Raw genomic sequence first — 14,032 nt, 5'->3', positions numbered from 1 at the left:
TCAGAGATGCAAGGACACTTCAACTTATGGAAATCAATAAATGCTATATACCACATTAACATTATGAAGGCCAAAAGACATATGATCATTTCAATAGATGAAGAAAAAGTATTTGTCAAAATTCAACATCTTTCAATAATAATAACCCTTAACAAATTAGGTATAGAAGGAGTGTACCACAACACAATGAAAACCATATATGAAAAACTCACAGCTAACATTACAGTCACTGGTAAAAAGTTGAAAGCTTTTCCTTTAAGATCAGGAAGAAGATAATGATCTCTACTCTCACCTCTTCTAGTCAGTGTAGTCCATTGACTTCATATGTAAGTCCTAGCTAGAGCAGTTTAGCAAGAGAAAGAAATGAAGGGCATCAAAATTAGAAAGAAAGAAATTAAATTGTCTCTGCAGACAAAATGATCTCAGAAAAGAACACCTTGAAGACTTCCAAAAAACTGTTAGAACTAATAAATGAATTCAGTGAAGTTGCAGGACACAAAATTAACATATGGAGCAGAGAGCAAAATGTTGAAATAAAAGCCTACATTGTTTGTTCCCCCTGCTGGAACACCAGACTATAACAACTATCTGCACACAGAAAAGCACTGTCAGAAGAACCAAAAATCAAGGAAGCAATCACAGTACCTCGTTTTAACTTTGTATTGTGGAAAGAGGCATTGAGGAGGGCAGGAGAGATGGTCCTCAATCACCAATGCCACCCATCCCCCATCCCGAGCAGCAGCTGTGTGGTATGGATAATCTCTGCATTTTGGGGAGGGAGAGCACAGCAAATTGGGAACTTTATATTGACTTCAGTATTGCCCTGTCACAGCAGATAATAAAGCCATGCTAGGCTAAGCCAGCACCCATGCATGGAGGAGCATTTGGACAAACCCTAGCCAGAGGAGGATTGCCCATCCCAGTGGTTGGAATTGAGTTTCTCGGCAAGCGTCACCATTGTGAGCTGAAGTGCTCTGGGGCCCTAGGTACCAGTTTAGCCACAGCAGGATAGAGCAACAGCAGGCTCTTCGGGTCCCTGAGTGCAGGACTAGGTTTATGGACAGCATTTCTGGTCCTGCTCTGGGCCAGAAGGGAGCCCACTGCCCTGAAAGGTGAATCCTAGGCCTGGCAGCACTCACCATAAGCTGATGGGAGAGCCCTTGGGCTTTAAGAGAACATTGGTGGTGGCCTAGGAAAACTCCCCCACCTTCCCCCCACTACCATGGACTGGTGTTGGTGGCAGCCACAGGGAGAGGCTCCTCTGCCTGTGGAACAGGGAAGGAAGAGCAGGAAAGACTTTGTATTGTGGTATGAGTGCCAACTTAGCTGCAGTAGAATAGAATATTAAGTAAATTGCTAAGGTTTTTGACTCCAATTCCTGGCTTCTAGATAGCATCTCTGGACATGCCCAGGACTAGGGGGAACTGAAGGGAAGGGCCTTGCGACAGTGTTGTGTTGTCTTCAGGTCTGACACAATGCAGTCCCAGTGATGGTGGCCACAGGGGTGCTTACCTCATCACACCTCCAGTTCCAGGTGGTTCAGCACAGAGAGAGAGGCTTCATATGTTTTGGAGAAAGTAAGCGAAAAGAACAAGGGTCTCTCCTGGTAACCCAGATAATTATTCCAGATTTTATCCAAGACAACCAAGGTGGTACCTCTACGAGTCTGGAAAAAGCACAGCATTATTGAGTTTGGGGTTCAAGTCCCTTCAAATACCTAGAAAGCCTTCCCAAGAACGATAGGTACAAATAAGCCCAGACTGTGAAGACTATAATAAATACCTAACTCCTCAATGCCCAGACACTGAAGAACATCTGCAAGCATTAACACCAACTAGGAAAACATGACCTCACCAAATGAATTAAATTAAGCAGAAGAAGGAATTAGTGAGCTTGAAGATAGGCTATTTCAAAATACATAGTCACGGACAAAAGAAAAAAATAATAAAAAGTGATGAAGCCTGCCTACAAGATCTTGAAAATAGCTTAAAAATGGCAAATCAAAGAGTTATTGGCCTTAAAGAAGAGTTAGAGAAACACATAGGGGTAAGAAAATTTATTTAAAGGGATAATATCAGAGAACTTCTCAAACCTAGAGAAGTATATTAATATCCAAGTAGAAGAAGGTTGTAGAACACCAAGCTGATTTAACCCAAGGAAGACTACCTTAAGACATTTAATAATCAAACTCTGAAAGGTCAAGGATAAAGAAAGGATACTAAAAGTAGCAAGAGAAAAGAAACAACATAGAACGGCGCTCCAATATGTCTGGCAGCAGTCTTTTCAGTGGAAAGAAGGCCAGGAGGGAGTGGCACGAAGTGCTGAAGGAAAAAAAGAAAACTTTTACCCTAGAATAGTATATCTGGTGAAAATATCCTTTAAGCATGAAGAAATAAAACCCTTGCCAAACAAAAGCTGAGGGATTTCATCAACTCTGTCTTATAAGAAATGCTAAAGGGAGATCTTCCTTCTGAAATAAAAGGACCTTTTTTTTTTTTTTTTTTTTTTTTTTCAGATGACGTCTTGCTCTGTTACCAGGCTGGGGAGTGCAATGGCACCATCATGACTCACAGCAGCCTCAACCTCCCAGGCTCAAGTACAGATGGGATTTCATCATGTTGCCCAGGCTGATCAAAAACTCCTGAGCTCAGGCAATATGCCTGCCTTGGCCTCCCAAAGTACTGGGATTTTAGGTGTGAGCCACTGCACCCAGCCCAAGAAAAGGACTTTAATGAGCAAGAAGAAATCATCTGAAGGTATACAACTTGCTGATAATAGTAAACACATAGAAAAATACAGAACAGTATAACACAGTACTCACGGTGTGTAAACTTCTCTTAAGTAGAAAGACTAAATGATGACTCAATAAAAAATAACAACTACGACAACTTTTCAAAACATAGACAGTACAATAAGACATAAAGAGAACTAAAAGTTAAATAGCAAGGGAATAAAGTCAAAGTATACAGTTGTGGACCAAGTGCAGTGGCTCATACCTGTAATCTCAACACTTTGGGAGGCCAAGGCAGGTGCATCACTTGAGGTCAGGAGTTTGAGACCAGCCTGGCCAACATGGCGAAACCCTGTCTCTACTGAAAATACAAAAATTAGTTGGACATGGTGGCCCAGGCCTGTAATCCCAGCTACTTGAGAGGCTAAGGTAGGAGAATCATGGAGGCTGCAGTGAGCCGAGATGGCATTGCTGGACTCCAGCCTGGGTGACAGAGCAAGACTCTATCTCAAAAAAAAAAAAAAAAAAAGAAAAGCATACAGTTTTTAAAGAGTTATTTTGTGTGTTTTTTATGCAATCAGTGTCAAGTTTTCATCAGTTTAAAATAATCAGCTATAAAATATTATTTGAAAGCCCCATGGTAACCTCAAATCAAAAAATCTACAACAGCTACACAAAAAACAAAGAGCATGAAATTAAAGCAGACCACCAAAGAAAATCACTTTCACCAAAAAGCAGATAAGAAGGAATAAAACAAGGAAGAGAAGACTGCAAAACAATGAAAAAACAAATAGCACAATGGCAGGAGTAAGTTCTTAATTCTCAATAATAACATTAAATTTAAGTGGATTTAAGTCTCTAATCAAAAGACAGAGTGGCTGAATTAATTTTAAAAATGACCCAATGATCTGTTGTCTATAAGAAACACACTTCAGTTATAAAGATACAAATAGACTGAAAGTAAAGGGATAGAAAAATATATTCCATGCCAATGGAAACCAAAGAATAGCAGGAGTAGCCATGTGTATATTAGACAAAATAGATTTAAAGAAAAAACTATAAGAAGAGACAGAGATGGTCATTATATGATGAAAAAGGGGTCAATTCAGTAAGAGGATATAATGAATGTAAATGTATTTGAACCCAACACTTGAGCATCCAGATATAAAAACCAAATCAAATTAGAGCTAAAGAGATAGGCCCCAGTACAATAATAGCAGGAGACTTCAACACTCTACTTTCAGCATCGGACAGATCTCCCAGACAGAAAATCAATAACAACAAAAATTGTATTCAATCTGCACTATAGAACAAATGGACCTAATAGATTTCTTGAAGCAAATGATAATGGAAATACAACATACCAAAAGCTATGGGATACAGCTAAAGCAGTACTAAGAGGGAAGTTCATAGCTATAAGTGCCTGCATCAAAAAAGAACATCTTCAACCAAATAATGTATCTTAAAGAACTAGAAAAGCAAGAGCAAATCAAACCAAATATTACTAGAAGAAAAGAAATGATAAAAATCAGAGCAGAAATAAATGAATTTAATTGAAGAAAACAATGCAAAAGATTAATAAAACAAAAAGTTGTTTTCTTGAAAAGATAAACAAAATTTGCAAATCTTTAGTCAGACTCAGAAAAAGAGAAGACACAAATAAATGAAATCAGAGACGTAAAAGGAGACATAACAACTGTAAACACAGAAATTCAAAGGATCATTAGTGGCTACTATAAGCAAATTTGGAAAATCTAGAAGAAATGGTTAAACTCCTATACACATATAACCTACTAAAATTCAATCATGAAGAAATCCAAAACCTGAACAGACCAATAACAAGTAACAAGATCAAGGCCATAATAAGACATCTCCCAGTAAAGAAAAGCCCAGGACCTGATGGATTCACTGCTGAATTTTACAAACATTTAAAAGAAGAATTAATACCAATCCTCCTTAAACTGTTCCAAAAAATAGAGGAAGAGGGAATACTTCCAAGTTAATCCCAGGAGGCCAATATTACCCTAATACCAAAGCCAAACAGACACATCAAAAAAAGAAAACTACAAGGCAACATGTCTGATAAATATCGATGCAAAAATCCACAACAAAATGCTAGCAAACTGAATTCAACAATACATTAAAAGATCATTCATCATTACCAAGTGGAATTTATCCCAGGGATGTAAGGATGGTTCAACATATGCAAATCAATCAATATGATACATTTTATCTACAGAATGAAGGACAGAAACCATATGATCATTTCAATTAATGCTGAAAAAAGCATTTGATAAAATTCAACATCCCTTCATGATAAAAATCCTCAAAAAATGAGATAGAAGGAACATACCTAAACATAATAAATGCTATATATTATAGACCCATAGATAGTATTATGCTAAATGGGGAAAAACTGAAAGCCTTTCCTCTAGATCTGGAACATGAAAGGTTGACAACTTTCACCATTGTTATTCAACATAGTTCTGGAAGTCTTAGCTAGAGCAATGAAACAAGAGAAAGAAATAAAAGGCATCCACATTGAAAAGGAATAAGTCAAATTACCTTTGTTTACAGATGATATGATCTTGTATTTGGAAAAGCCTCGACTCAGCCAAAAAACTATTAGAACTAATAAATTCAGTAAATTTACAGGATATAAAAGTGAAATACCAAAATCAGTAGTATTTCTATATGCCAACAGTGAACACTCTGAAAGAGAAATTTAAAAAGTGATCTCATTTACAGTAGTCACAAATAAAATTAAATACCTAGGAATTAGCCAAAGAAGTAAAACGTCTCTAAAATGAAAACTATAAAACATTGATGAAAGGAAATGAAGGGGACACCAAAACATGAAAAAGTATTCCATATTCATGGATTGAAAATAATCAATATTGTTAAAATGTCCATACTACCCAAAACAATCTAAAGATTCATTGCAATCCCTATCAAAATACCAATGACATTATTCATAAAATGGAAAAAAATCCTAAAATTTATATGGAATCAAAAAAGATCCATAATAGTGAAAGCTACCCTGAGCAAAAATAATACAACTGGAGGAATCACATTACCTGACTTCAAATTATACTACAGAGCTATAGTTACCAAAACTGCATGGTAGTGGCATAAAACCAGATGTATAGACCAATGAAACAGTATAAAGAAGCCCGAAACAAATCCACACACCTATAGTGAACTTATTTTCAACAAAAATGCGGAGAACATACATTGGAGAAAAGACAGACTCTTCAGTAAATGGTGCAGGGAAAATTGAGTATTCATATGCAGAAGAATGAAAATTGATCCGTATCTCTCACCTTATACAAAAATAAAACGAAAATGGATAAATACTTAAATCTAACACCTCAAATTATGAAACTATTACATGAAAACATTAGCATTCTAGTAGTTGAGGAGAAAAAGCCCTGTGTGTTTTTTTCCTAAGAAGAGGGAATATTGAGAAAGGGAATTATCTCCTCTGCCTCTTTCATGGAGGAAGTGTTGAAAGAACACTAAAATTACAGCCAAAAAGGCTGAATGCTGGTTTTACTATCTTAAAGCAGAGAAGCAATTGGCAAAAGCTTCTCTAATAAGCAGGCTCCCATTGGGGCCTGAGGCCAGTAAGACAGAGACCACACATTTAATGCGGAAGACTGTTTAAGAGCCTAAGCCTTTGTTCCCAGTTAGCCACACCCTCAGTCTGCCTATGCCCTTCTTGTTGTGAATGGCTCTCCTTGATGATGAATGGTGATGCCGTGGGGCGGGAGTGAGAGATGGAAGTATGGAAAGACAAGAGCTTTCTGTGCCAGCTTTCACTAACAATGAGAAGGAAAAACACAGCATTTGGCTCACTCTGGTTTCCCTCTGGCTTCACACAGCTCCCTGAAGAATACTCTCAGTTGCCTCTTTCCCAGGAGGTCTTTGGGATTCACAGATGAACTCCAACATACAATGAAGGATTGTGATGGCTAGAATTGAGGCAGGAGGGCAATTTAATTTCCTAAATTTTCTGCTCTCATCTTAAGATGAAACAGCCCTTCCTCAGCCCCACATACCTGCTCTGCACACTTTGGTCTTTGTGTTTTAAGTTCCTACTGTTTGGAATACCCTTCTATTCCTTCCTCTCTAAATCTGCCAGTCCTCCAAGGCTCAGCTGAATTTATTTTCCATAAGTCCTTTCCATCACATAAGTAAACTCTACCTTGAACTCTTCCTCAGGACTCCCATCATAAAGTTTGCATTATCATAGAGATACCTTACACTTCTTTAATTGCTTTGGATGTATTCACTTTGTTTTCTAAACTGTACACAAAAAGGGACTAGGTCACAGAATTGTTTCGTATCCAGAGAAGAAGGTACGTAGTGCTGGGCCCATAAATGGGCCTTATAGATGCTTGCTTGATTGGCTCTGTGGTGATCTATACCATTAGACAATTAGAATGGGTGGAGCAGTGGAGACTCAGGACTCAGGGAAGATGCAAGGATAACCAGCATGAGGGTAATGACAGGAGGAGCTGTCAGAGAGCCACCTGCTAGCTGTAAGTACATGCCACAGCTTGCTTATGGGTATCCTGTTGAAGTTCCTATTTTATTAGATTGCTAAAGAAAAGAAGCCCTCCTCATAGACACAGAGGGATGAACATGGACGATCTTCAGGGTTCTCAGTGAGAGAAGTCTGAATATCAAAACAAGCTGTCAGCACCTCCCTGTTCACCCCTTGGCTGGTACATCACATTTTTGTCTTTGTCAGCTTTGGTATATATAATAATTTGCATGGGGTAAGTATGCTTCATTCACAGGGATATTGGCGAAACTTGCATAAGAATGGAGCATGTTTTCTACACTTTACAGTTCACAACACGCTTTTGAACTTACTGGAATTCCTGGACCCACCCAAGACTGGAAATGAGGGGTTTAGCATTGTTAAAGCATCATAGTATCATTTCTTGTGATGAGAGTCTCTCTTACCTCAAGAATCAAAAATATGCAGAAACCCACCCAAGTAAGAGTTCACATGAGGAGAATGAGGGCTACTCTAACTTATTTTGGGAAATGTATCAAAGTTGAGATTGTGGCTACATGGAAAAAATTCTCTTGTTGTTAATAATGTGGATGCTTGGAAAATGAAAGAGGATTTGTAGAATGTCATCCCTACTTTTATTAGTCCTTTCTCACACTGCTGATAAAGACATGACTAAGACTGAGTAATTTACACAGGAAAAAGATTTAATGGACTCACAGTTCCACGTAGCTGGAGATTGTGAGAGGAGACCTCACAATCATGGTGGAAGGCAAAAGGCACATCTTACATGGCAGCAGACAAGAGAGAGAATAACAGTCAGGCAAAAGGGGTTTCCTCTTATAAAACCATCAGATCTTGTGAGATTTATTCACTAGCACAAGAATAGTATGATGGAAACCACCCCCATGATTCAATTATCACCCACTTTTTCCCTCCCACAACACATGGAAATTATGGGAGCTATAATTCAAGATGAGATTTGGGTGGGGACACAGCCAAACCATATCATTCTGCCCCTGGCCCCTCCAAAATCTCATGCCCCCACATTTCGAAAACCATTCATGCCTTCTCAACAGTCCCCCAAAGTCTTAACTCATTTCAGCATTAACTCAAAAGTCCATGGTCCAAAGTCTCATCTGAGACAAGGCAAGTCCCTTCCACCTATGAGCCTGTAAAATCAAAAGCAAGTTAGATACTTCCTAGATACAATAGGGGTACAGGCATTGGGTAAGTACAGCCATTCCAAATGGGAGAAATTGGCCAAAACAAAGGGGCTACAGGTCCCATGCAAGTCCAAAATCCAGCAGGGCAGTCAAATCTTAAAGCTCCAACATGAACTCCTTTGACTCCATCTCTCACATCCAGGTCATGCTGATACAAGAGGTGGGTTCCTTTGGTCTTGGGCAGCTCTGCCCCTGTGGCTTTGTAGGGTACAGACCCTGCTCCTGGCTGTTTTCACAGGCTGGCATTGTGTCTATGGCTTTTCCAGGTGCATGGTGCAATCTGCCAGTGAATCTATCATTCTGGGATCTGGAGGACAGTGGCTGTCTTCTCACAGCTCCACTAGGCAGTGCCTCAGTGGAGACTCTGTGTGGGGGCTTCAACCCCACATTTCCCTTCCACACTGCTCTAGCAGAGGTTCTCCATGAGGGCCCTACCCCTGCAGCAAACTTCTGCCTGGACATCCAGGTGTTTCCATACATCCTTTGAAATCTAGGCAGAAATTCCCAAACCTCAATTCTTGACTTCTGTGCACTGGCAGGCTCAACACCACGTGCAAGCTGCCAAGGCTTGTGGCTTGCACCCTCTGAAGCCCAAGCTGTACCTTTGTCCATTTTAGCCATGGCTAGAGCAGCTGGGATGCAGGGCATCAAGTTCCTAGGCTGCACACAGCAGGTATGGGGCCAGGGGGGCGCTGGTCCTGGCCCAGGAAACCATCTTTTCCTTCTAGGTCTCTGGGCCTATGATGGGAGGGTCTGCTGCAAAGGTCTCTGACATGTCCTGGAGACATTTTCCCCATTGTCTTGGCAATTAACATTTGGCTCCTTGTTACTTATGCAAATATCTGTAGCCAGCTTGAATTTCTTCTCACAAAATGGGTTTTTCTTTTCTATTGCAAAGTCAGGCTGCAAATTTTTCAAACTTTTATGCTCTGTTTCCCATTTAAAACTGAATGCTTTAACAGCACCCATGTCACCACTTGAATGCTTTGCTGCTTAGAAATTTCTCCCACCAGATATCCTAAGTCAGCTCCCTCAAGTTCAAAGTTCCACAAATCTCTAGGGCAGGGCCAAAATGCTGCCAGTCTTTTTGCTAAAACATAGCAAGAGTCACCTTTACTCCAGTTCCCAATGAGTTGCTCATCTCCATCTGAGACCACCTCAGCCTGGATTTCATTGTCTATATCATTATCAGCATTTTGGTCAAAGCCATTCAACGAGTCTCTAGGAAGTTCCAAACTTTCCCACATTGTTCTGTCTTCTTCTGAGTCTTCCAAACTATTCCAACCTCTGCCTGTTATCCAATTCCAAAGTTGCTTCCACATGTTCAAGTATCCTTTCAGTAATGCCCCATTCTGCTGGTACCAATTTACTGTATTAGTCTGTTCTCATGCTGCTGATGAAGAAATACCTGAGACCGGGTAATTTATAAAGAAAAAAAGGTTTAATGGATTCACAGTTCCACATGGCTGGGGAGGCCTCAAAATCATGGTGGAAGGTGAAAGGCATGTCTTACATGGCAACAGAAAAGAGAGAGAATGAGGGTCAAGTGAAGTGGTTTCTCCTTATAAAACCATCAGATCTCATGAGACTTATTCACTACCATGAGAACAGTATGAGGGAAACCATCCCAATGATTCAGTTATCACCAATAGGTCCCTCCCACAGCATGTGGGAATTATGGGAGCTACAATTCAAGATGAGATTTGGGTGGGAACACAGCCAAACCATATCACTACTTTAACTGCTTATGGTTTTATTTATTGTTATTAATAACAATAGAACTGTTGCACATATGTACCTTTGTGTGGATGTGTTGAGGAGAAGGTTGAAGGAATGAAGGGATAAGTTGAGCAATGATCCTGACATCCAGGAAAAATCATAAGCTTTATGTATTATTCTTGGAAAAACTCACCAATTCATTTATTTATTCACTCAACATTTATTTATTAATGCAATAATTTGTTGAATACTTACTTTGCACCTGTCCTACAATTTAGGGATCCAATAGTACTACCCCAGGTTATTGGCCTAAACAGAGTAGGTAAATACTAAATATTATATAGTGGCACAAAGGAGAAAATAAGATGGAGATGAAATGCAGGTCAGCAAAGGGCTCTCAAAAAAGATATTTAGTTGGATTTTTAAAGGAAATAAAACTTAGTCAACAAGACATTTCAGACAGAGAGAATAGTGCTTGCAAAGGCGCAAAAGCCCGAAAACGATAAGCACATTCCAAAGATTATACGTAGTCTGGTGAATGGCGAGAAGGAGTATTGATGGGAGAGACTAAGAGTAGTCAAGACAATCAGGGTAAGATGTATATGCCATGGGTAGTGTACTTTTTTTTTTTTTAGTCTCACCAGTATCTCTTCCCCCTTCAAGGGATAATATAACCCTGGTTTTCTTTGGGAAACCACATATTCCAACTCCTTGTAACCTTGGTTAGCCTTTTCTTTGTTCAATCTCATAGGGAAGGTAATGACTAAAGGTGCCTCACCTAGGGTTATAGGTGCCTCACCTAGGGTTATAGCCTCCTTGTCATACTGATTAGTTTAAGGCATGTAACCCAAACTAGGCCTGTTGGAGCCTTGGGATACCAGATCTTTCTTCCTTTGGAATCTCGAATTATATAAATTGTTATAAGTAGTTACCTTCCCTGGCCTAAAGTTTTTGGCCAAATAAGGCAAACACACAGAGGAAAGCAGAATTCAAGAATGGAGTGAGAGAGAGCAAGAGAAAGGGAAAGGTGAAGGCTTGGTGACACTACTTGATCCCTGTGCCTGAAGTTTTTGGTTAATCCATGGACATTCAAGTCACATGATTTGTTTCTACTGGAGTCACTCTGAATCAAATTTTCATTACTCTGACCATAAAAGTTACATGAATGTTAAAACTATGTTAAGGATTTTGGACTTTATTATCTGGACAGTGAGGGGGGTTTTGTGTGATATATAAGCAAATTTAGTTTTGCCTAATAAATTCAAATTCCATTTAAAGAAGGTTGTTCTGGGAAGTGCATTAATTGGATGGACTTGGATTTGCCAAATATAACTTGTGTGATCTTAGATCTTCAGTCACGAAACTCTTCACATACATTTAATCTCTTGAAAAATGCAGAGCATTAATGCTGCTTTGGCCTTCCCCACAAAGGGCTATGTGAGGTTTTCAAGTGAGATCTGTGAAAGTATTCTGTAATGTGTTAAGTACAATATGTATATCAGTAAGTCATGAATATTAGAGAATATTGCCATAGTAAGGTTGTGAGTACATTTATTAGATTTTTTTTTGCTGAACTTGTGAATCAGATAGACTTTTTTATGAGGATTTATCATAATTTGGCTGACAACATACAAATCTGCTTTACCTAAAATTAAAAGAGAAAAAAGAATGGGATGGAAACAGGAAAAGAAAACAACAAAAAAACTATGGCCAAATTTGTTAGTGTGGATGCACCTGTTAGAAGAGCTGAAGAGTTTTGATGATATAAGATCACAGTTAGCAGCAGCGTGAACTGGTAGAAAGAAGAGTCAAGGGAGGAGACTTCAAATTCCAAGTATGTTTTTGACTCATTGTGTGACTATGGGAAGACATTCCTTAGCCTTCAAGAATCTAAATGTTGAGCTTTATCCTCAGAATTACTGGAATCCTAACGATCTGTGGGATTCTTTCTGCAACCTCAATATCACAAAGTGGAATCTGGCAATACTGGAAAATTGGATCCTGGGTATTGTCAAAAGAAATCTGGAGGACCATCTCTGAAAGCAGAGAGTAGCATGTTCTATGCATTCCTCAGTCTTTCTCATAGACTTCTCAGCTTTGACAGGGGCAGGGTCATGGTATATAGCTATTTGTGTTATTAAGCACCTGGCTTATGTAGGTGCTAACTTAGCAAATAGTTGATGGAAATGACAATCTCTAATAGAACAATGGTTGGCAGCAGTCAGGAAACAAACAAAAACTTTTAAAGGGCCCCAAGTTTTGATTTTGACCTCATTAGTGCCATGCTAAAATACACCTGAACCATCTAGTTCTTGGTTTTATCTATGGGAAACAATGGAGGAAGAGAACATCACCCAATAAGTGAAATGTCTTTGCCTTTTGACTTCTGCCTTATTCCAGCCAATTGCTCTATAAATTCCCTCCATTAAGTCAAACCAATCTCACTAATGGTGAAACAACTCAAAACATGCTACTTTCATGAACAAAGGTTGTTAATATGAATTTTTGTTTTTTAGTGACTGGAGGGCCACTCAGAACTCATTACTCTCAGCCTCCCAATAACTGCTAAGCAGGAACAGTTTTCTATGGTGCTATAGAGGATACTAATGTATAGTGGTAGAGTTCCAGATAGAATTTTAAATTGTATTCTGTACCTTCTCTTGGACAAAGCGATGACAATAGGAGGGAACTTTTTGTAATATAAGTTCAACTATGAAATCCTGAGAACATGCCTCGAGCCTTATTGCTCTTAAGGTTGAAAGTAAAGGTGTGAAATCAATCTATCACTCAAAAATGTTAATTGAGCATCTGTTGAATGCCAAACACTATGGTAGATGATCAGTCTACAGAGCTAATTAAGACTCATGAAGTCTTAATTAGCTTCATGAAGGCAAACATACCAAGAAATAATTTCAATATAGAATGTAAATGCTGTGATGGAGGTAGAGATACAGAGTAGCTTTGTCTGGTGTAGAATTTCTAGAAAAGCTTTATATAATGTAATATAAGGGAAAAAATTTGAATTAACTTTGGAAAAATGGGTAGAGATTCCGCTTGTGACTGTGTTGTGGGGCAGCTGGGGGATGGTTGAGAATAATCCAGGCAGAGGGAAGACTGGACATGCCTCCATTTTTCTTTTTAATGCACATGCTTTTCCATATACAATCTTTTTTACAGGATTTTTTTTTTTTTTTTTTTTTTTTTGGTCAGTGAAGTGGTGGCAAAGGAGAGACACATCAGAAACATCTTTTCAGAACCAATACATGCCATAAGAAAGAAGCTGAAGGCTGCTAATTTGATTACCTATAGCCATATTTACTATCCTAAAGTTTTACTCAGCTTGCCTTCCAGACCAAACTGGGATAGCATAGGGAAGGAGTTGGAGTTTGCCATTTTAGTGGAGCTTAGGGATTCTATGTAATGGATAAACATGTTTAGTTGTTTAGACTGTTAAGCAAAGGGAAAATCTGACTTAAGACTAGGATCTCAATCATTAACATCATTCAAGTGTTCCTTGCCCTTCATGGGACCCTATTAACTATATCCTCCTGCTCTTAATGAGGCACTGGGGAATTTACAACATTTAACCCAAATACTTTCATCCAAACATATTTATTCAATTATTTTTGCTTCCATCAAAGCAAAAATTGCACTGGACAAAGTTAAGCAGTCAAGAAAAGACTTTATCAAGGCTATTGTAATAGGATAGAGAGACCAGAACTCAGTCTGAGCTCCACTCTGTTGAAACAAAGGGTGAGAGGGTTTTTAAGTTCTGTGGTGAGCTAGAGGAAAAGTATTGGAAGATGTTGAGGGAAGTCATAGACCAATTGT

This window comes from Homo sapiens, chromosome 1 (assembly GCF_000001405.40).
Source record: "Homo sapiens chromosome 1, GRCh38.p14 Primary Assembly".
NCBI lineage: Eukaryota > Metazoa > Chordata > Mammalia > Primates > Hominidae > Homo > Homo sapiens.
Note: the sequence above shows the minus strand (reverse complement) of the source record.